At 50.3% G+C, this 22,913-nt stretch overlaps 1 long non-coding RNA gene and 2 pseudogenes across 3 annotated transcripts, besides 2 other annotated features; 1 reads left to right on the top strand and 2 right to left on the bottom strand.

The window, feature by feature from the left end:
- Nucleotides 1-428: 428 nt before the first annotated feature.
- On the bottom strand, nucleotides 429-7,839 carry LOC105371552 (uncharacterized). Of its 3 annotated transcripts, none has more exons than XR_934251.1 (3): nucleotides 7,758-7,839; nucleotides 6,065-6,294; nucleotides 429-500 (listed from the first exon to the last, which is right to left on the bottom strand). It is a non-coding gene; the product is annotated as an uncharacterized LOC105371552 (long non-coding RNA). The 3 variants fall into 3 exon arrangements; XR_934250.3 differs by lacking the exon at nucleotides 429-500 and adding an exon at nucleotides 2,231-5,743; XR_934252.2 differs by lacking the exon at nucleotides 429-500 and adding an exon at nucleotides 5,346-5,432.
- KRT16P6 (keratin 16 pseudogene 6) lies at nucleotides 7,713-12,283 on the top strand (annotated as a pseudogene).
- Nucleotides 11,880-12,080: a silencer, noted in NCBI's record as "peak2752 fragment used in MPRA reporter construct". NCBI's record gives its function as "represses an SCP1 promoter by STARR-seq MPRAs in K562 erythroleukemia cells {active_cell/tissue: K562}" and the evidence as "EXISTENCE:reporter gene assay evidence [ECO:0000049][PMID:32103011]".
- On the bottom strand, nucleotides 17,615-17,825 carry NOS2P4 (nitric oxide synthase 2 pseudogene 4; annotated as a pseudogene).
- Nucleotides 20,243-21,347: a non allelic homologous recombination region, noted in NCBI's record as "recombines with the proximal SMS-REP block A recombination region". NCBI's record gives the evidence for it as "EXISTENCE:nucleotide sequencing assay evidence [ECO:0000219][PMID:14639526]" and "EXISTENCE:restriction fragment detection evidence [ECO:0001124] [PMID:14639526]".

Genomic DNA, 22,913 nt, shown 5'->3' with positions numbered 1-22,913 from the left:
CTTCCCGAGTGGGTAAGGCTCCTGAGGCTCCCCGGCACTGCAACCCCTCTGCCTGTTTCCATGGAGTGGGGGCCAGGCCCTTCTCCTGAGAGCTCCCAGCTCTCCCTTCTCCCTGCCCTGGAGTTGGCTTAGCTCTCAGACCCCTTCTCACCTCCTCTTCTCTCTCCCACAGTCTTCACCTCCTCTTCGTCCTCTTCGAACCGTCAGACCTGGCCCATCCTCAAGGAGCAGGGCTCATCCAGCTTCAGCCAGGGCCAGTGCTCCTAGAACTGAGCTGCCTCTACCACAGCCTCATGCCCACCAGCTGGCCTCACCTCCTGAAGGCCTGGGTCAGGACCCTGCTCTCCCAGCGCAGTTCCCAGCTGTCTCCCTGCTCCTCTACTGGTGATGGGCTAATAAAGCTGACTTTCTGGTTGATGCAAACCTGTGTGATCTCTGTTCTTGAACTGATGGGAGGGGAGTTGCAGGTGCTTTCCAGAAACCTCCTGGAGCCTCACAGCCTGAGAGATGTGGGAAATGGGACAAATCTCAGAAGATCTTGAAGGCTCTTCCTGGAAGACCTCCACGCTCTATGGAAGTGGGAGGTGGGACACAGGATGGGGGAGTGTCCACACGTGCTGACTGACACCATGGAGGCATTCTACAGAGGTTATTTTACGAGGTTGCCCTTGCAACCCTGTGAGGTGGGTGTGGTCAGGCCCATTTTGGAATTTGACAACCCCCAGAATTCAGAGTTTCAGTAACTTGCGTAAAATCATGCAGATAGTAAGTGGCACGGCTGGAGCTCAAACTCAGTTCTGTCTGTCTGCAAAGTCCATGCCTTTCTTTTAACACCACTCTACCTTTTCAGGTATTTTAACCCGAAGACTCCCACGCTTGAATCTTAACTCTACCCATGGGCTCCCCCACATCTGCACACAGTTTCTACATTGGAGGGTGGAAGGGAGTGGTATCTGCCTTGAGAACGATGTCCTCGTCAGACCTGAAATCCTCCTTCTCCCAGCCTGCTTCTCCTCACACCCCATCAACTCCTCCTTCCTCATTCCCCTCAGCTGGTGAATTGCGTGCTGATGAGCACCCTAGGAAACACCTGCTGCCCCATGGCCATTGCCATGTTCAGATCTTCTTCCTCTCTCCCTAGACCTGGGCACAGCCTAACTGGGTCCCCTTGAGAGTCAATCTCATCCACATTCAATTTCCACTGAATGATTTCCACCAGAATGTGGTCAGGATCAAGAACAAGGGTGAGATCAGGACTCCCCTGCTTAACAGCCGGCGATGGATCCCATTCCCCTCCAGCACTCAGCCTTCAGTCTCAACCCAGCTTGGTGTCCTCCTGTCCCTCCCAGCTCCAAACCCCCGAGTCACCCCTACCTGACTGAGATATGACCCATACCTCTCAGTTGCCATTCCTTCTTCCTGGATGCCTTCCATATTTTAAATATTTAAATTTAAAAAAGTTATGTATGTATAACATCATAAGCCTTTTTTTTTTTTGAGACAGAGTCTTGCTGTGTCGCCCAGGCTGGAGTGCAGTGGTGCGATCTCAGTTCACTGCAAGCTCCACCTCCCAGGTTCACACCATTCTCCTGCCTCAGCCTCCCAAGTAGCTGGGACTACAGTCACCCACCACCATGCCCGGCTAATTTTCTTTTGTATTTTTAGCAGAGACAGGGTTTCACCGTATTAGCCAGGATGGTCTCGATCTTCTGACCTCGTGATCTGCCTGTCTTGGCCTCCCAAAGTGCTGGGATTATAGGCGTGAGCCATGGCACCCGGCCAAGACTTTTTTTTTTATTATTATGCTTTAAGTTATAGGGTACACATGCACAACATGCATGTTTGTTACATAGGTATACATGTGCCATGTTGGTTTGCTGCACCCATCAACTCATCATTTACATTAAGTATTTCTCCAAATGCTATCCCTCCCTCCCACAGTCCCCCACCCCCTGACAGGCTCCGATGTGTGATGTTCCCTGCCCTGTGCCCATGTGTTCTCATTGTTCAACTCCCACCTATGAGTGAGAACATGTGGTGTTTGGTTTTCTGTCCTTGTGATAGTTTGCTTAGAATGATGGTTTCCAGCTTCATCCATGTCCCTGCAAAGGACATGAACTCATCCTTTTTTATGGTTGCATAGTATTCCAAGGTGCACATGTGCCACATTTTCTTAATCCAGTCTATCATTGATGGACATTTGGGTTGGTTCCAAGTCTTTGCTATTGTGAATAAGACTTTTTTTTTTTTTTAATGAAAAAGCCATCCCTAGACTGGATACCACAGCTCTGTTCCCGCCTCCCCTTTTCAACTTCAGCTGTTTCTTTTGGGATTTGTCTCCTTACTTCTAAATAACAGGCTTTACCTTGTTACTGTTTGGTTTTTCTGTTTCAGTTTTTAATCGCTTGACTTCTGGCTGTGAAGGATGAGGATGTGGATCTGTTATACAGCATTGCCCCTCCCCACTTCTTTTTAAAATATCTTCTTCCCACCTTCTCAATATATTCATATTTTTGTTAAATAAATGTTTACATTATCATGACTATTTAAATGTTATTCATAGTCAAATCATATATTATACTATATTACATTTTATACTATATTAGATTTCCTTGGAATAAATATCTCTTTTTCAATTTGCCTAAACTTTCTATGTATTGATCATTAATTTGTTTCCTGATTCACTGCTGGAAGCATAAATCTCCTCAGTATTTTAGAACCCTGGGTGTTCCTTCAATTTCATCCTCATGAAGATGTGTCTCCTAGGGCCTTCTGTCCTGCTCTTGTCTGTTCTGGGTGCTGTTTGGGTCTCCTGCTCAGCTGTGATCCTGGAATCTCTCTTCACCATCATCCTGAAATCCTTCTTTTTCCTGGGTTGCTTTCCTTGTTTTCTGGATCCAATGTCTTCCTCCTTCCTGTTTTTATTTTTCCCTTTGTTTTAGTGAAGCACATCCTCAAGTAGTTTCCTGGGAAGGGAGTTATCAGGGTTAAATTTTTTTAGACTGTTTGTGTCAAAAAGATCTTTAGTTGATCCTCACTCTTGACTGATAGTTTGGCTGGGTATGGAATTCTAGCTTGGAAATCATTTGCACTCAGCATTTGAAGGTACAGTTTCACTGTTTCTTGGCTTCTGGTGTTGCTGTTGAGAAGTCTTATGCCATATTGATTCTAGATCACGTCTTATTATCCTATTCCCACACTCTTCCCTAGAAGCTTTTCAGTTCTTCTCTTTCTCTCCAGCAGGCTGAAATACCATGTGTTGAATTGATGCAGCTGTGACTTCATCCACTGGCTGGACACTAGCAGAAACTTCCAATGTGGGAGCTCATGTTGTTCAATTCTGGCAAATTTTCGTGTTTCATGATTTCCTCCCTCCATTTTCTCTCTTTCTGAAATGGCTCTTTTTCCTACATATTCTGTTTTATTTTCCGTCTTGTCTTTTTTTCTTTGTTGCTGTTTTCTGAGAAATTTCTTTAACTTTGACCTCTAACTCCATTATTCAGAGTTTTAAAAAATCTGCTGCATTTGGCCGGGCACAGCATCTCATGCCTGTAATCCCAGCACTTTGGGAGGCCAAGGTGGGTGGATTGCTTGAGCCCAGGAGTTCAAGACCAGCCTGGGCAACATGGTAAGACCCTGCCTCTACAAAATATATAAAAATTAGCTGGATGTGGTGGCCTGGGCCTGTAGCCCCAGCTGCTAGGGAGGCTGAGGTGGGACAATCACTTGAGCCTGGGAAGTCAAGGCTGCAGTGAGCTGAGATCACACCATCGCATTCTAGCCTGGGCAACAGAGTGAGATCCTGTCTTAAAAACAACAATAATCTTTTATATTTTTCATCTCTCATAGCTCTGCATGTTTTTTCAACAGTCTCTTGTTCTTGTTTCAAGATGCAATGGTTTCTCTGATCTCTTTGAGCCTATTAGTCCTGGCTCCAGCAGTGCTTCTATTTCTGTCATCAGCTCAGTTTCCTCAGTTCCTTTCTTGCTGTTTGTCTTGCCTCCATCTTTCATGCCAGAGGCTTTTCTCAGATGTCTGGTGGTCCTTGGTAGTTGTTCATATTTAAGAGTAAGTCACTGAGAAACTGATTGGAATATGTGTATATGTGTGTGGATAGCATGGGAGCTTGCCACTGGTAGGTCTCAGTATAGAGTAATCTGGTGGAGAATAGGCTGTTTCGTTGGGGGACAGTTATCTGTAGGACTTTTCTTGGGGAGGGTCTTCCTCAGAAGGAATACCTCTAATTCCCTGTCTGGATTGTAAAAGCTACCAGCTTTCTGGAAGCTGAGTGCGGGAAGGGGGCAGAGAAGGTCTCAGTCTCAGCTACTCTGCTACTAGTTGATTGCAGTTTATTGGCCCTGCTTGGTGTCTCAGGATTCAGAGTCCCTTTGGGGAAATTCTCAAGCATAAACATCTAGTTTCTCCTGGAGTAATCGTGGAGTGGTTGGGTTCAGACAAGGAAGGGAGAGAGGAGCTATAGCGGCCTCTGCTTTTTTTTTTCTTTTCCCGAGATGGTGTCTCGCTCTGTTGCCCAGGCTGGAGTGCAGTAGCACCATCTCGGCTCACTGCAAGCTCTGTCTCCCGGGTTCACACCATTCTCCTGCCTCAGCCTCCCGAATAGCTGAGACTACAGGCGCCCGCCACCACGCCTGGCTAATTTTCTTGTATTTTTAGCAGAGACGGGGTTTCACCGTGTTAGCCAAGACGGTCTCGATCTCCTGACCTCATGATCCACCCGCCTTGGTCTCCCAAAGTGCTGGGATTACAGGCATGAGCCACCGTGCCCGGCCGCCTCTCTGCTTTTTATATAGATCTCTAGCTCACCCTCCCATTTCTAGTTCACTTGTTCCTCACTGTCAGAGGTACCTGGTGCCCCCTATTCCAGAGACTTTCCAGAGTTCTTAAAAATTCAGAGTTAAAAAGTTCCAGAGTGTAAATATGCTTTGCCTCTTGGCTTCTCTCTGGGCAAGCACTGGGCTTTCTTTGTCTTTGTTTTCCAGATTCCAAAATTTGATTGCTATAATCTACTTTCCTGATCTCTTTGACCCCATGGATTTTATCCATTTACAATAATTTTAGTATTGGCACGGGGCTCCCCCATGTAGGGTGGTGCAGGGAGACTCACTAACCACAGGAGGTCCTGCCCGGGGCTCCTCCTTTACCCCCCTCCTTTTGGGGCAGGCTGGAGGGAGGGTCAGGTAATGCTGCTCACACAAAGCCTGCCTAGAAGTCCAGAGGTGGGGGGTACTCTGGGCCTCAGCTGTCAAGACTGGCAACCCTTTAACCCCTGATGACCCAGAAAATACCCTCCCTTAAAATGTCTGAGTACCACGCTTCTTTGGCATCAGGGAGGGGACGGGAGTGTGGTGTCCTCTAAGTCTGCTCCCTGCTTGGCCGGGCTGTTTGCAGCTCCTTGGTCACTGAGTCCTTGACTGCAGGGGAAGAGAGGTTGGCCTCAGGCTCCAGGTTAGGCCACGGTTCTGAGAACGGGTGTGGGGGATCAGGCTTATATTCCATGCTAGAGCTCTGGAGTTGGTGCGTGGGGTTGGGATGGGGCTGCAGAAGTGCCTTTTAAGATTATGTGCATGGACTGATCTGTCATTGGTTCCCTGCCATCCTTATCTTTTGGATTCCCCTCGGAGCAGGGGGAGGAAGGAGTTTCTTTTGGGTTCCACTGAATCAAATGAAAGGGAAAGTAAAGCTGTTCCTATGTCCTGGGCTCTGGAGCTTCTATTCCTGATCCCTGCAGAAGAAGGAGACGGTGGTGGTGGTGGGTGGGGGTGGCGGGGCACAGAGGAAGCAGGTACCGGGCCCTGCACCCCATTCCCACTCCCAGATCCCTCTGGACACAGCATTTTTCTCCAGTGAGCACAGCCTTCCCTTGCCCCACAGCCAACAGCAACATGCCTCCCAACAAAAGCATCTGCCCCTCAGCCAAAACCCCTGTTGCCTCTCTCTGGGGAAATTGTAGGACTGGGTCAGGGTGGGGGGACCATTCTCTGCAGGGAGATTAGGAGTGTCTGTCAGGGGTGGGTGGAGCGGGGTGGGGCCCTGGCTTACTCACATCCTCGAGAGTCCTTTGCTGGCAGATTTGGGGAGCCCACAGCACAGGTGTCTGTCTCAGTATTGTCTTCCAAGCTCCTAGGCCACAGTAGTGGGGGGCTCCCCTCTCTGGCTTCTTCTTTGGTGACAGTCAAGGTTGGGGGTGGGGTGAGAGAGGTCCTGCTTCTCTTCTAGGAACAGTTGATCCCAGGAAGAGCAGTGGAGCCTCCAGCAGGGGCTGTTGGGGCCTGTCTGAGGAGATAGGACGTGTCAGGCAGCCCCAGACACGACCACATTCCTCCCAACATGCCTGCTGGGGTCTGTGGAGCCCAGGGGCTGATGGGAGGGTGGGGTGGGGGCCGGAAGGGTTTGCTTTGGGAGGTTGTCTGGGAGATTGCTGAACTTTTGATATACACACCTCCAAAGCAGGACCAAGTGGACTCCTAAAAATGTCCCCTGACCCTTGGGGCTTCAGGAGTCAGGGACCCTCGTGTCCACTTCAGCCTTGCCCTTGGCACAGCCTGGCACCACTCCAGCCTCTACTCCTCCCCAGAACATCTCCTGGGCCAGTTCCACAAGGGGCTCAAACGAGGGCACCTGAGCCAGACTTCTGCCTACACTAGGGATGTTCTGGGGGTCTGAGAGGATATCTGGGGCTGGAAGAAAAAAAGGCCCCCCTAGGCCTGTTCCTGGATGCAGCTCCATCCACTCTGGGGCTAAGCCTGGGCTACAACAATGCCAACCAGGCTTCTTGCCATACTCGGTTTACAAAAGCCTTTCACATACGCTGTCGCATTGGCTTCTCACAGCTGACTGCAGTAGGCAGAGTAGATGGTATGACTCCCACTTTGCAGATGAGAACACTGAGGCTCAGAGAAGCGCCAAGCCCTGGGTCACGGGGCCGTAAATGGCAGAGCCAGGACCCACCTGACTCCAGGCTGTTTCCTGGCCTCCATGAGGCCACCCGCCCTATGGTGTGGTGGATGTCAGATCCTCACCGTAGGGAGGAAATTAGGGTCTGTGCCCAGGGCTGGGGAGAGCTGCCTGGATTTCTCTTTGATGGGGGTGTTGGGGTGGGAATCACCATACACCTGACTGGCTGAGTGTATTTCAGGGATGGGACAGGCTTCTCAGCACAGCATGGCAGGTCAGGCCTGGGAGGGCCCCCCAGACCTCCTTGTCTCTAACAGCGGGTCATGGTGAGGGAGGCCTCTCTGTGCCCAAGGTGACCTTGCCATGCCGGTGCTCTCCAGCTGGGTATCTGTCCCCTGCAGTGGTGGGCTTCCTCTAAGTGGATGTTAAAGGCCCATCCAGTTCATGGAGAGCTAGCAGGTCACCAGGTTTAAGGTGCAGAGGCCCTGCTCTCTGTCACCCTGGCTGAGCCCAGTGTGCGGGTTCCTGAGGGCTGGGACTCCCGGGGCCCCATGGGAAAGTGTAGCCTGCAGGCCCATACCTCCCCCTGTGAATCACGCCTGGCGGGACAAGAAAGCCCAAAACACCCCAAACAATGAGTTTCCAGTAAAATATGACAGACATGATGAGGTGGAGGAGAGGAGGGACCTGGCTGGGAGTTGGCGCTAGCCTGTGGGTGATGAAAGCCAAGGGGAATGGAAAGTGCCAGGCCCGCCCCCTACCCATGAGTATAAAGCACTCGCATCCCTTTCCAATTTACCTGAGCACCTTCTCTTCACTCAGCCAACTGCTCGCTCACTCACCTCCCTCCTCGGCACCATGAGCACCTGCAGCCGCCAGTTCACCTCCTCCAGCTCCATGAAGGGCTCCTGCGGCATCGGGGGCGGCATCGGGGGCGGCTCCAGCCACATCTCCTCCGTCCTGGCCGGAGGGTCGTGCCGCGCCCCCAGCACCTACAGGGGTGGCCTGTCTGTCTCCTCCTCCTGCTTCTCCTCTGGGGGAGCCTACAGGCTGGGGGGCGGCTATGGCGGTGGCTTCAGCAGCAGCAGCAGCTTCGGTAGTGGCTTTGGAGGAGGATATGGTGGTGGCCTTGGTGCTGGCTTCGGTGGTGGCTTGGGTGGTGGCTTTGCTGGTGGTGATGGCCTTCTGGTGGGCAGTGAGAAGGTGACCATGCAGAACCTCAACGACAGCCTGGTCTCCTACCTGGACAAGGTGCGTGCCCTGGAGGAGGCCAACGCTGACCTGGAGGTGAAGATCCATGACTGGTACCAGTGGCAGCGGCCTGCTAAGATCAAAGACTACAGTCCCTACTTCAAGACCATCGAGGATCTGAGGAACAAGGTGGGTGAATGGGCAGCAGAAGGTGCCATTCCAGCTAGCTCCTTCTGGGAACAATAGATGCCCCAGGACACTGACACCTTAAGATTTCTCCATAGGACAGAGCCCACCCCAGATCCCTTCTTTCGAGGTCTTGGATGCCCTAAGAGCTGATCAGTGAGAGGATGCTCTCTCCTTCTCCAGCCTGCTCATCCCCTTCTGATGTCAAATCCTCAGATCAAGTGAGATCAGTGATTCCTGTCCTTACATTTTACAGAGGAAGCAGTTGAAGCTTTGAGAGGTGCTGTGACCAGCTGCAGGTCACATAGCAAATTAATGGCAGAGCCAAGGCTGGGTCCCTTGTGTCCTACCTTCCAGCACAGGGGAGGAGCGAGGCTCTAACGGGACCAGGCAAGACATCCAAACCGCTCATTAGCTCACTAGTCTGGGCTGTGGCTGCCGCCGCCCATAAGCCTTGGTACAGTCTGGTCCCTCCCCACAGCCAGGCAGGCATGGAGAGCCTGCAGAGACAATCAGTGTGGCCCCTTGACGTGCCCTGCACAAAGGGAGCCTGGCAGGCTTGTGCCCTGTCTCCAGCCCCCTCCCCCCTGCTCCCACATCACCTGGGAGCCCTCCCTGCGGGAGTCTGCTGGGCTCTAATGCCTTGCATGGATTAGGGAAATTCAATGATGATGTGGGGAACTCCAGTCAGACTCAGGGGCCAATATATCTTCTTATTCTTCCCCCGAGTCCTCTTTTCTAATCCCCTGTGTCAGTTGGGTTTTATCTCTTGAGAAAGTTCCATTTGAAGTCCCATGGCCCGTGAGCTTGAAAAGGAATGTGCATCTCTGCAGAGGACTGGCAGGGCTGGCTGTTGCAGAGAGAAGAGAGGCCAGCTCAGGAAGGAGGGCTAGGGAGCCTCAGATTATTCTCCTCACTTGGAGGTGGGGAACTTGAAGCCCCAAGACCCATTAGGTTTTGCAGCAAGTCAGTGGCAGAATTGCGACCAGAACTCCTGGGCTTTTGATTCTAAGCCCGGGGCTGCATCTACCCCCTCTGTTGACCATGAGTTAGCAAAGTCTTAGGACAGGCCTGGGGCATCTGTTTTCCTTTAGGCTGCTATGGTCAAGTTTTGTGGGGGGAAAGGGGAATTCAGGCAAGAACATGAAGCAAGAGCTTAATGTAGGTTACAGTGAAGTCCAGCTTGTGAAGTCCATTTGACAAATTACCTGTGCCCTTTCCATCCTGCAGATCCTCACGGCCACAGTGGACAATGCCAATGTCCTTCTGCAGATTGACAACGCCCGTCTGGCCGCAGATGACTTCCGCACCAAGCGAGTTTGCAGTGGTGGGCCAGAACATCCAGTGTCCCCAAAGTAGGGCATTTTTTGAGCAGTGTTTCCCAAATAGAACTAGCCAGTGCCAGAATAGCTGCATGAAAACTCCCTGGGGTGCTTATAAAAGAATAAGACTCTTGGGCCCCACCCTTGGAGTTTTGATTCAGCTATTTATAGCAGGTTAGCTGGGAGATTCTGGTCCACAGCCAGGTTTCAGAACTGCTGCTTTAGGGAGAGGCACTTTCCACTTCCCCAGCTGCCCTTGAAGTATAGGAGGGAATCATAGTTGGAGGACTTATGCATTATTTGTTGGCTGAAGCTAGAAGCGCAACCCCCTCCTGAATTCTGCAGCAAGATGAACTGCCTCATCCCCAGGCCCCAGGAATGTTCATATCTGAGCAATCAATGGGCACTGTGTTCAACCATGCCATTTTCAAGATTGGCTCCTTAAACCACCCACAAGGCACCAGCTCTGGGAGAAGCTGCAGGGAGAAGAGAACAAAGCCCTCACTGTGGTCAGGATGGGTGTATCATTCCTTTTCTCTGGGGTCATTCCAGGTATGAGACAGAGTTGAACCTGCGCATGAGTGTGGGGGCCGACATCAATGGCATGCGCCAGGTGCTGGGGTGCTGGACGAACTGACCCTGGCCAGAGCTGACCTGGAGATGCAGATTGAGAGCCTGAAGGAGGAGCTGGCCTAACTGAAGAAGAACCATGAGGAGGTGAGAACTATATGGAAAAGCCAGCTTAAAAGAAGCGCAGGGAGACTGGGTACGGTGGTGCATGCCCATAGTCCCAGCTACTTGGGAGGCTGAGATGGGAGGATCACTTGAACACAGGAGTTTGAGTCCAGCCTGGGCAACAAGGCTAGACCCTGTCAAAAAAAAAAAAAAAAAGAGAGAGAGAGAGGGAAGGGAGAGTCAAGATAGAATTGTGATTCTGGGAGGGCAGTATTCAGGCCTGACTAAGGAACCCCAATCTGCTGCCGTGGTGGAACTCCTGACTGTGGACTGTCCCTGGCAGTGCAGGAGATGAATGCCCTGAGAGGCCAGGTGGGTGGAGATGTCAATGTGGAGATGGACGATGCACCTGGTGTGGACCTGAGCCACATTCTGAACGAGATGCGTGACCAGTACGAGAAGATGGCAGAGAAGAACCACAAGGACGCAGAGGAACGGTTCTTCACTAAGGTGGGTGTCATTTGAGGTGGAAGGAACCCAGACCACCTGCCTTCTGGGGACTTCTGGTGTGAATGGTGTTCTCTTTTTTGCAGACAGAGAAGCTGAACCACGAGGTGGCCACCAACAGCGAGCTGGTGCAGAGCGGCAAGAGCGAGATTTCGGAGCTCTGGCACACCATGCAGAACCTGGAGATTGAGCTGCAGTCCCAGCTCAGCATGTTAGGAATGGTGCCAGGCCCGGTGGTGCACCCAGAACTGGCAGGGAGAGAATGGCCACACTCACTAATCCTTGATTCCCTTTCCCTCCCTCACAGAAAGCATCCCTGGAGAACAGCCTGGAGGAGACCAAAGGCCGCTACTGTGTGCAGCTGGCCCAAATCCAGGAGATGATTGGCAGTGTGGAGGAGCAGCTGGCCCAGCTCTGCTGCGAGATGGAGCAGCAGAACCAGGAGTACAAGATCCTGCTGGACGTGAAGATGCGGCTGGAACAGGAGATCGCCACCTACCGCCGCCTGCTGGAGGGCGAGGATGCCCAATGAGTCTTGGCCCTCCCCTTAATCCGCCCCACCATGGCACTCTCACGGCCCCACCATGTATCTAATGACCCTGCCCTTTTCTGTCTTCACAGCCTCTCCTCCTCCCAGTTCTCCTCTGGATCGCAGTCATCCAGAGACCGGTAAGACCTTCATCCTCTGCAGGCCTGGGCTCCAGGCCGCCCTCTGTACCCCAAGCAGGTCTAGGCATTGGCTAGGGGCTCCGTGAGGGGCTGAGCTCTAGTGATGTCACCCAGTTTCCCTTGGGAACCTCCTTGGGTGGAAGAAGCTATTTTCTAAACCCTCCTTAGGGCTAGGAGAGGCAGCCCCCACCTCTTACTTCTACCGGGTGTCTGTGGCAGATCCTATTGCTGTGGTGCTCAGCACCATGAACAGGGCCCTGCAGGGCTCCTCCCACCGAGACCACTCCATTGGGTGAATATGGACGGAACCAGCTGGGTGTGAGCTCTTAGGAAGCTCTAATCTGAAGACAAAGACTCTGTCTCTGACCTTTGGGAGCCCTAGTCTGAAAGAAATGTGTTGACGGTATCAGTGCTTGGGCAACAGCAGGGAGTGAAGCAGTAATCAGGGGAGAGGGCAACTGGGAGACAGTTTGAGTTTCCTCACCTTCTTGGCCTCCTTACTCCTGATTAGTCCATTGTCTGTCCACCTCTGGTAATGTCCTCTTTCCGCCTCTTCCCCAGTGACCTCCTCCAGCCACCAAATCCACACCAAGATCATGGATGTGCACGATGGCAAGGTGGTGTCCACCCACGAGCAGGTCCTTCGCACCAAGAACTGAGGCTGCCCAGCCCCGCTCAGGCCCAGGAGGCCCCCTGTGTGGACACGGATCCCACTAGAAGATCCCCTCTCCTGCCGCCTAAGCACTTCACACCTGGACCCTGCTTCACCCTCACCCCCTCCTGGCAATCAATACAGCTTCATTATCTGAGTTGCATAATTCTCACCTCTGTCTGGTCATTGTTAGGAGTGGGGATGGGGAGAAAGTGGGAGAAGCATCTCTTTGGAGCTTGTCATAGCACCTGGCTATGGCCCCTGGGACTGGGAAAAAGGTCCTGTGGGTGGGTTGGGCTCAGGTCCCAGGATATCTTTCGCCATCTCAGAAGACAAAGATAGATGTGTGTACCAGGTCATATGTGGCGTCTCCTAGGGTACAGAGAGATATTCATTCATTTCCTCACTCATTTTCATGTGTGTCCATTCATTCACCAGATATTGAGTGCCGCTATGTCAGGCACTATGTTAGGTTAAGGATTCCTAATGTTTTTGTGATCAGGGATTCCTTGGAGAATATTGAAAGCTATAGATCTTTCCTTCTGCCCCTACCTTCAAATAAGCACACATACATTTTCATATAGTTTCATGGGGTTCAGGGGTCTCCTAGAGCTCCTGGAGGTCCATGAACTGAAGGTAGGAACTCAAGCTCTCCTGACAGTCTTGTCAGGCAAAGCAACGACAGTGCAGGCAAAGCAACGAGGGTCTTGCCTGCAACACTGGAGGTTCCTTGATGGAAGGAACTATGATCCTCCAAACATCCAGTGTCCTCCCCAGGCCCCACAGGCACAGGTCTTTGATCTTAATGGGGGCTCAATAGGCCAGAGGGATGGGCAAATAATAAGCAACGGAGCTGAGAACCCAAGTTGCCCAGATGGTCCATGGGGAAGTTGGGTGCAGCCACAGTGCCACCGACAGTCAGGACGATGTCCCACTACGTGCCGGACCCACACCAGCAGTTTTACAATATGAGCTCTTTTAAGCCTCACAACAACCTCATGAGGCCAGAACTTTTTGTTGTTGTTGTTGAGACCAAGTCTCGCTCTGTCACGCAGGCTGGAGTGCAATGGCACAATCTGGGCTCACTACAACCTCAGCCTCCCAGGTTCAAGCAATTCTCCTGCCTCAGCTTCCCAAGTAACTGGGATTACAGATGCCCATCACCATGCCCAGCTAATTTTTGTATTTTTAGTAGAGATGGGGTTTCACCATTTTGGCCAGGCTGGTCTCGAACTCCTGACCTCAGGTGATCCGACCACCTTGGCCTCCCAAAGTGCTGGGATTACAGGTGTGAGCCACTGTGCCTGGCCAAGGTCAGAACTATTTTTTTTTCTCCCACCGAAATCCTTTGCTTGACTTAACCCACTGCCCTTTAGCCACACAGGACTCCTGCCCTGGCAGTCACTTTGCTTGTTTCCACCTCAGGACATTTGCACATGCTGTATGCCCCTCCCCTTTTTCCTTCTCCTGGCTCACTTCTCCTCCCCCTTCACTCAAGTGTCTCTTTCTCAGGGAGAAGGTCACTGATGCCCCCAACCATGCCACACCCTTTATTATGTGCTCTCCATTCCCCCACCAACCGTGCTCACCTCAGTTGTGAATTGCGTGTTTATTTTTGCAGGTCTATTTTATTCCGTAACTGTTCATCAAGATAAGGGCTTGCTCATTACTTTATCCCCAGCACTCAACCCAATGCCTGGCACATAGTAGGTGCTCAATAAAGGATGAATCTGAATTTACAGTGAGGAAACAGGTTCAGAGAGGGGAAGCAACTTTCCCCAAATAAGTGGAAGAATCCAGCTTTACACTATGACCTGCCTGGCTCCGAAGCCGGTGCTCTCAGCCTCCCTGCTAGGTGTGTCCCAGCAGACACAAGCCTGGGGTGCCTAGACTCAGGTGGAGGCACCTATGCGGGCCCACTCCATCCCCTCACTGTGGTCTGATAGGGTCTGGCTGGGCAGAGTGTTGGCAAGTGCCTGTTGTATGAGAAAGAATCAGTGTTGACAGACAGGTGCAGGTACCCACAGCCCTGCACCAGTGGGCAGTGCACACCTGCCTAGATGGCTCATGGAGGCTCCAGGGGAGGAGCCGTGACTCAGCGGGTTCTCCCTCTCCCAGCAGCCAGCCACATGCTGACTCAGGTCCCTCACTTGCCCCACCTGGGGATCAATGACAGACAGCAATGGGGAGTAAGTTGAGGGTGTGGGAAGCAAGAGGGCTCCCACGACCAGAGCAAAGCTGTCCTTGTGCTGCCTCCAGGTCCCCATGTCCCCAGTGGACGATACCTTTGCCTCTGGGGACAACTTGCAAGTAGGATCTTTGGTTCCCTCTCTGTCCCTCTGTCTGCCTATCTGGGTCCTTGCAGCCCTTCTCTCCTACTCCATCCACTCCCCAAATGGAGGGCCTGCATTTGGGATGCTGGCACTGGGTCCAGGCTGCAGCCTTGCATGTTGGCTGGAGAGGCAGTGTTGATTCTCATTGGGTCTCAGGTGCCGGGGTGCCGTGGGCTCTATGGTTTCCATTCCTGGTTCATTCTTTGGAGGGTTCCCATGGGAGGTGTTGAAGTTGGGGCTCAGAGGGCAGACCCTGAGCCCTGAGAAGCTGGAAGAGTGAGCCATGTCACATGACCTAGAAGAAATCATTCACTCAGGCCACGGCTGTTGGCCTTCCTCATCCCTGGCCCCATCTCGCCCAGTCTGCTTCCCATGCCAGGCAGAGAGCTTGGGAGAAGGGAAGAGATGGTGCCCTGCTGCAGCTGGAGCAAGACTTCCTATCTGGACCGTAGGAGCTGCAGGCACAGCAAGCTCCTCTTTGTATTGGAACAAGGCCAGATGTAGGGGGACGAGGGCCAATGTGGCAGGGGTGACATGTGGGCAGCAGTTGGGCATTCATCTAGGGAGCCCTCTGTCTTTTTTTTTTTTCTTTTTTTTTTTTGAGACAGAGTCTCACTCTGTCACCCAGGCTGGAGTGCAGTGGCACGATCTCTGCTCACTGCAAGCTCCGCCTCCCGGGTTCACGCCATTCTCCTGCCTCAGCCTCCCAAGTAGCTGGGACTACAGGTGCCCGCCACCACACCCAGCTACTTTTTTGTATTTTTAGTAGAGACGGGGTTTCACTGTGTTAGCCAGGATGGTCTCGATCTCCCAACCTCGTGATCTGCCCGCCTCGGCCTCCCAAAATGCTGGGATTACAGGCGGAAGCCCTCTGCCTTTATGGCCCTTGGCAACAGTGCACGAAGGGGCTTCTCATGAGGAAACTGAGGCCAACTTTGAGGACCACAGGGGGAGGGAGGATGAAACTGGCAGGTGGCCCAGCCCTGCCTGGCTGGGGAGCTACTGCGCTCTCCACCCCACAGTGGTCCTCATGCACAGCTCACTTTCCCTGGCAGCTGGGAGGAATTCTGAGGGATGAAGCCTGCTGCCTCGGGCTGAGTGAGGCTTCGGACAGGGCTAGAGGGTGGGAAGTGGAGAAGCGGGGTGAGGACAGGGGTTGGAGTTTGGCACCAGGGCTGGAAACCAGGGCCATCTGTCAAGAGGCTTAGCTGGCCAGGGGTGCCCCAGCTGGGAGCTTCTGCTCAGTCAGGCGGGTCTCAGCTATTCTTAGTATCTCCCAACACAGATACATTTGCAGATGACAGAGCAGGGTTCTGGAAGTGCCACTGTGCTAGCTCTCTCCAGCGTGGCCCATCCATAGCACCACCGACTTCCCCATCCAGCTCAGGGACCTGGGACCTGGGGCTTACATCCCGACCAGAGTGGCGGCATCAGCATGGGCATGGGGAAGAGGGTAACTTCCCAGGCCTTGGAACACATTGCGGCAGATTCTGGGCTTCCCAGCAGAGCTTGGCAAAGACGTTGAATGGTTTAAAACCATTTAAGAAAGTAGAAAGGGAATCAATTATACCCACTAGCCTTGATCTAAGAGTCTTCCATGTATTAACCATTCATAAAATGCCTTCAGTATTCTCTGAATATTGAATAAAAGAGAATGATATTCTCTTAATTTTCAAAACTTAAACTACCTGTTCAATTTTTAATTTAACATATTTTGTACCACCCATTTAAATATTTATTTAACACATTTTGGTAAATTAACTCACCTTTCATTTCAATAAATATATTTATAAAGGAAATCTTACATTACTACCAAAAAAGGAAAATCATAATCACTTGCCAGAAGCAGAAGGAAATGACATACAGAAATACTTAACTTCTAACTAGATGCTGTTACTTTCTAAAGGTGCTGAGCCCAAAGCTGGCTCTCTTTTTTTGAACAGGGTGATTGACAAGTGTCGTGGGGCGTTACAGAGGCCATAGTGTCCAAATGAGATTTCATCCTTGACTAATCAGAAGATTGAAAAATAGAAAAAGAGGCCAGGTGCAGTGGCTCATGCCTGTAATCCCAGCACTTTGGAGGCTGGGACAGGAGGATCATTTGAGCCCAGGAGTTCAAGATCAACCTGGGCAACATAGGCCTGGCTTGTAGAAACCCAGGAGGTTTCTCTGGGTTGCATTTCTTTTACAATGGCCCAGCACTTGCAGGAGGCCTCCAACCAACTGCAGAGGTCCCCCTGGTTTTCCTCGGGATTAAAGTTTGCTCTCACAGGACATGTCTGCCTCTCCTCTCCTGGTCTGGGTGGGTGTTCTCTAGCAGGACAAACAGAGTCTCTGGCCAGTTTTTAGAAACTGTGTTTTTGTTTCCTAGAGGACAGAGGGCTCAGAAGTGTAGGCAGCTCCCAGCTTTGCCAAACCAAGCAACACTCAGTTACAGAGGGCAGGGCGGGGGGCAGAGGCCAGTGGTGGAGCCAAGACCACCTGAAAGAGATGTTGGCCTACCACTCTATGGCAGCGTCACCCCCTCTTCACTGTCCTCAGTGACGCTGACCTTTCCTTCTTGGCTTCTGCACAATGAGAATCATCTAATTATTTCTACACTCATCTCTCCACTGCTGCCTCTAGATGCTCCCTGAGGGCAGGGCTGATGTCTGTTGTATTTCCACACCTGCCCCAGTGCTGAGCACGGAGAGATGTGAAATAAACCATCACTGAATGAGCTCAGTGAGTGAGTGAACAGCCAGTGCAGAATCTCCCCTGCGTTCAGGCTGCACAATCAGGAAGACTAAGGACCACTGGGCTCTCACCAAGGGTTGGGTGCTCTCCAAGTCTGATCTCATTAAATTGTCTCAAGAGTAGTGGGACAGTGGAGTGGTGGAAGACTTGGACTCAGCAGTTAGACCATCCAGGTCCAAATCTCAGCTCTCCACTTAAGTGTGACTTTCTGTGCCACATGTAAAATGCACACAGTACCTACCCTACATGGTAACTGATCATATACATACAGAAGGCTTGGTTTACTGTCTGGTTCATAGAGCTCTCTCCCACATGCCTCCTATTACCATTAACAAGTCTGGGCTGTAGGTGTTCCCTCCCTCCTTGAACTGATGAGGGAACTGAAGGGGCGGAGCATGACTGCTCCACAGCCTCTGCCCCAGGCTCACCTCGAGTGTGGTACATGAGCACGGCCACAGTCAGGTGGATCGCTGTGGGCGTGTGATCCTGGGAGGAGCTGATGGAGTAAAACCTGGGCTTCAGAATGGGGAGCAGGGAGAGCAGGAAGCCAGCAGACACCTGCAGGGATGGGAACTCCTCCAGCAGCTCCAGGAACGTGGGGCTGTTGGTGAACTTCCACTTGCTGTACTCTGAGGACTGAAAGCCAAGGGTGATGTGAGCGACTCAGGGCGCCTGCCCCGCTTTGGGGAAAAGGCTGTCACAACCCAGTATTCATTCATTTCTTCACTCACTCAACAAACAAGTCCATGCGCCAGGCACTGTCCAGGGTGCTGAGACTACCAAGCTTGAGAAGAAATAGTTCCTGTCCTGGAGGAACTCAGTCCGGTACACTTATCTAACTTATGTGACCTCCACTGTCAGCAACTCATGGGCTGGGGTCAAATCTTTGTTGAATGGCACTTTCCCCAGCTGTCGTATCCTAGGCAGTTTGGGTGGTAGGTGGGCAAATCATTAAAAACAAATCAAAATCTCTAGTGAGAAAATCTTTTTCACTGTCTTTCAATCTTGCCGAATCCTTTGAGGGGTCTGGTGCTAGGCTAGGCTTACTCTCAAACCCTTGTAAATCCGTCCCTCCTGCCTGAAAACACTCTCCCTCAGCCCCTGCTTTTATCAAACAGAGCAAAAGCAGCTCTCAAGCTCAGAAGGTTTACCACTGTAGAATTTAATGATATTGTTTTGTTTTATTGCATTTATTTTTGTGATTACTTTCCATTAATGGCAAGTGGCATTATTTTTCCATTTAGAGTGATTTAAAATTTTTCTTAAAACACAGGTAATCAAATTTTAAAAACTGAGTTGATTTCTATGAAAATATTAAGTAATGGTGTAGGTTCTACACAGATATGACACTATGGAACAGATGGTTCCTGGAATTTGGGAAATGTTGATGGGAGGTGTTCCCTAACCTGACACTGCTTAGAACGTTGATGGGCGGCATTCCCTAACCTGGCACTGCTTAGAACGTTGATGGGTGGCGTTCCCTAACCTGGCACTGCTTAGAACGTTGATGGGCGGCGTTCCCTAACCTGGCACTGCTTAGATAGGGGAGACACCTCTGAACACAATAGTGTTTGTAGTGCCATTTAGGTCTACTGGGATCTGATAACTCATGGGTCTTCTTTTTTCTTTTTAAATAAATAATTACCTTTTCTTGATCACTATTGTATAAAACTTGGAAATACAGAAAAACATGTAGAATAAAAGAAAATATAGAAAAATATATAGAATAGAATGAAAAATCACTCATCATCTCGCCACTCAGAAATAACCACTCCTAATATATTGGTAAATGTTTTTCTCTCTGTGCACCAACATAGCTGTTATTATAGTACATATATTTTATTTTTGTAGCCTGTTTTATTTCCTTAACCTCATAGTATAAGCATGTTCCATATCATTCAAAATTCTTTATAAACATGGTTATAAATGGCTGTAAGATATTTAATGTAGAGAAGCCTCATAATGGATTTAATCATTCCCTAGCTGTTGGACATTTAACTATTCTCCAAATGTTGGGTTGTTTCTGGTTCTGCCTATTATCATGTTGTGATGAATATATTTTTGTTTGTTTGTTTGTTTGTTTGTTTAATAGACAAGTCTCACTCTGTTGCCCGGGCTGGAATGCAATCATGTGATCATAGCTCACTTTAGCCTCAAATTCCTGGGCTCAAGCAATCTTCTTCCCGCATCCTCCCAAAGCACTGGAATTACAAGTGTGAGCCACGGCACCTGGCCTGAATATTTTTATGCACAGCTCTTTGTCTTTATTTTAGATGGTTTCCTTATAGTAATTTCAGAAGTGGCATTCCCAAATGGGAAGATTTTGTAAGGCTTTTAGGATACGTATTGCTGGACTTTTTTTTAGAAGGATGAAACATGAAGGTATTCAGATCCCCTGGACCTACATGATGGGACATACCCTAATTTGTGTGTGGGGTGGTGTTGTCACTAGAAAGAGCTCAGACTCTGCTACATTGGGCAAGTTACCCAACTTCACCAACTCCTGTTGGTTCAGGTCTGAGTAGTCACTTCCCAGAAACCCAAGAGTGACTGTTCTTCACAGCTAGGCTCATGAGTGCTCATATTTTAGCTTTAAAAGTACAGATGTGGGCTGGGCATGGTGGCTCATGACTGTAATCCCCGCACTTCGGGAGGCCGAGGTGGGTGGATCACTTGAGGTAAGGAGTTCAAGACCAGCCTGGCCAACATGATAAAAACCCATCTCTACTAAGAAAACATAAAAGTTAACTGGGCATGGTGATGCGTGCCTGCAGTCTCAGCTACTTGGGAGGCTGAATCAGGAGAATCTCTTGAACCCGGGAGGCAGTGCTTTCAGTGAGCTGAGATCATGCCACTGCACTCCAGCCTGGGCGACAGAGCGAGGCTCCAAAGTACAGATGTCATTAACTTCAGTTTGTGTTATTTCCCTTTCACGAGAAGGGCTCAACAAAAATATTTGGGAAAACTACTTGTCTCAACAGCCTAAAATGCTTTTTTTGTAGCAGAAGCAGGAAAGGTTTGACCAAACATACCTGACATTAGGAAGAAATGCAACAGGGGCTCACGCTTCCTGGTGTCCACGATGCATGTGCCAGGAGCCGAGCAGAGGGCCTGGTGTTGAGCATTTCTAATCTTCCCAAGCAGCTTTCCCCACCACGGATTACACAAAACATTGGTTCTGCAGGATGCTAACAGGTATTCCTTGCAAAAAGGAATTTTGTTGTTTAGAAAAACTGAGTTAATGAAAGTGGAACCCATTCTTTTGTTATTTGAGAATTCCCAAGATGAGGATATGATATTGAGCATTTGCCAAACTCACTTGATAATAAAAACCTTTTCCATCTCATAGGATTGATGTTCCAAAGACCAAACTTTGAGAATCACTGCTGACAACAAGCTTACAATATAATATTTCTCTTTGTATCTCACAAATAGGAAAGCTGAGGTCAGGTAAATTGACCAAGATAGCAAAACCTAGTGATTCAAGGACTCAGGGTCAGAACCCAGAGCCACCTGACCTCAAACCCATGTTCTGTTCCACTCTCTCCCCGAAAGGGGCTCAGACTGTAGGGTGCCCCTGACCCAAGTGAGTGCCTGAAGCCAGAGGGCGAATATGAAATCAATATCAGAGCTTGAATAGAGAATCCCAAACTGACTGTGTTGATCCTGGAGACTGGGCCACACTAGAAACTGATGCAGGGTGAATAAGCCAAGGAAATGAGCAGCCTGGAAGCTGAGCATGAGGAAGGCAGTTGGGATAAATTTTGGGGACTGCATGGACTGCTGTGTCATGGAATCAGCTGGCTTATGGGGGAACAGGATTCATCTCTTGTACCTGGGGTAAGGTGGAGAGAGGAGGAGGAATAATAATCTATTTGAGGGCTGCCCAAGAGTCTCCTCTTATTGCCTCGCAGCTCTTGACTACGTTAATTCTCCATGCCTCCCACTATGAAATCATCAAGTATTCTTCTGTCTCCTGTTGTCCCCAGAGTCTCAGCCTGGGCTGTTTTCTTCTAGGGCTCTGCTTTTCCACAGCTTTAAAACCTCTCCACGTGCATTATTCTGGCTTCAGAGGTGTGGAAGAAATGGATTCTGATAACGCAATAGCATAATATCTAAAGCACTGCTGGTCCATGCACTCGACAAAGATTCATGTCCCAGGCGCTGGTCTAGGCACCACAGATACATTAGTGAGCCATCCGGACACAAATTCCCGGCCTCATGGCATAGCCCTTTGCTGAGGGAGAGACGATAAGCCAGATAAAGAAGTCAAATGTTAGACAGTGATCCGCAATAAAGAGAAAAGGGGGAGGGGCCTGACATTTCAGATTGGGTGTCCAGAGGGCCTTACTGAGAAGGGGCTTTTGAATTTCCATCACAGCCTTTTGAGCAGAGAAGGGATTTAACATTTGCTGCACTTCTGGCAGCTGACAGGCATTGCACACTTATATATCCCATATTTTCTTTTCCCCTGTAACTTAACAGATGAAGACAGTGAGGCTCCAAGAAGGCAAGTCATTTTTCCTCATTAGAAACTTGTTCTGACACCAGAAAGCCCACGCTCTCTCTGCAATCTCACACTCTCTTCTTGAAATAACCATGTCAGCCACTATGTTACCCCATTTTATAGGAAAGGAAACAGAGGCCAGAGAGCCTTGGGGGCCTGCAGAGCTGGGACTGGAGTTCATGTCACCTAACGCCCAGTCCAGTTTTCTTTCTGCTTTAGTAGACTGGGAGCAATGAGTATAGGATTGGTTTTTTGTTTTTTGTTTTTTTTTTGTTTTGGTTGTCTTTTGTTGTTGTTGTTGTTGAGATGGAGTCTTGCTCTGTCACCTAGACTGGAGTGCAGTGACACGATCTCGGCTCACTGCACCTCCACCTCCTGGGTTCAAGCGATTCTCCCACCTCAGTCTCCCGAGTAGCTGGGACTACAGGTGCGTCCAGCTAATTTTTTGTCTTTTTAGTAGAGACGGGGTTTCACTGTGTTAGCCAGGATGGTCTTGATCTCCTGACCTCGTGGTCTGCCTGCCTCAGCCTCCCAAAGTGCTGGGATTACAGGCATGAGCCACCGTGCCTGGCTTGTTCTTTCTTTTTTACTGGCGTACAGAAAGAAACAAAAGACTCAAGGGCTTGTCAAAACTTCTATGCATGTGAAATGATAGAAGTTGACTTAACAAGAAGCGGCAGTGACCAAATGACTCAGCACCCGATTGCACCGCACCGGTCTCTTGAACAGCTGCGAGGAGACTAAAGCCTTCTAAACGCTTCCAGTGGAAGGATGGGCCACAGGCCAGCAACATGGGCAGGACCTGGGAGCGTGTTAGATGTGCAGAATCTCAGGCCTCATCCCAGACCTACTGGATCAGAATCCACATGCTAACCAGGTGATCATATGCATGTTAAAGTGTAAGAAGCCCTGCTCTGACTGCCCCATCCTGTGGTGCAATGAGGCTGGGTGTCCCCACAGAGCAGTCAGGAAGCCTAGGTATAGTTATAGGAAGACTCATGCCAGGTAGGACTGCGGAGCTGGGGTGACATGGGCAGAGGCCTCTGCAGAAGCTTAGCTCTGGTTCTCCCAGCAGCAGCAGCTCATTTTAGAGGGACTGAAGGGGAGGGTATGGGATGGTGGTGTTTCTGTTTCATTTACTGTCCCATTGAGACTAGGACTGGTGGAAGAGATGTTCTCTATGACCTGCTGAAACCTGAGAAGGAATCTGCAGGAATAAA

The sequence above is a fragment of the Homo sapiens genome, chromosome 17, assembly GCF_000001405.40.
Source record: "Homo sapiens chromosome 17, GRCh38.p14 Primary Assembly".
NCBI lineage: Eukaryota > Metazoa > Chordata > Mammalia > Primates > Hominidae > Homo > Homo sapiens.
Note: the sequence above shows the minus strand (reverse complement) of the source record. Positions and strands in the feature narration are given on the sequence as shown.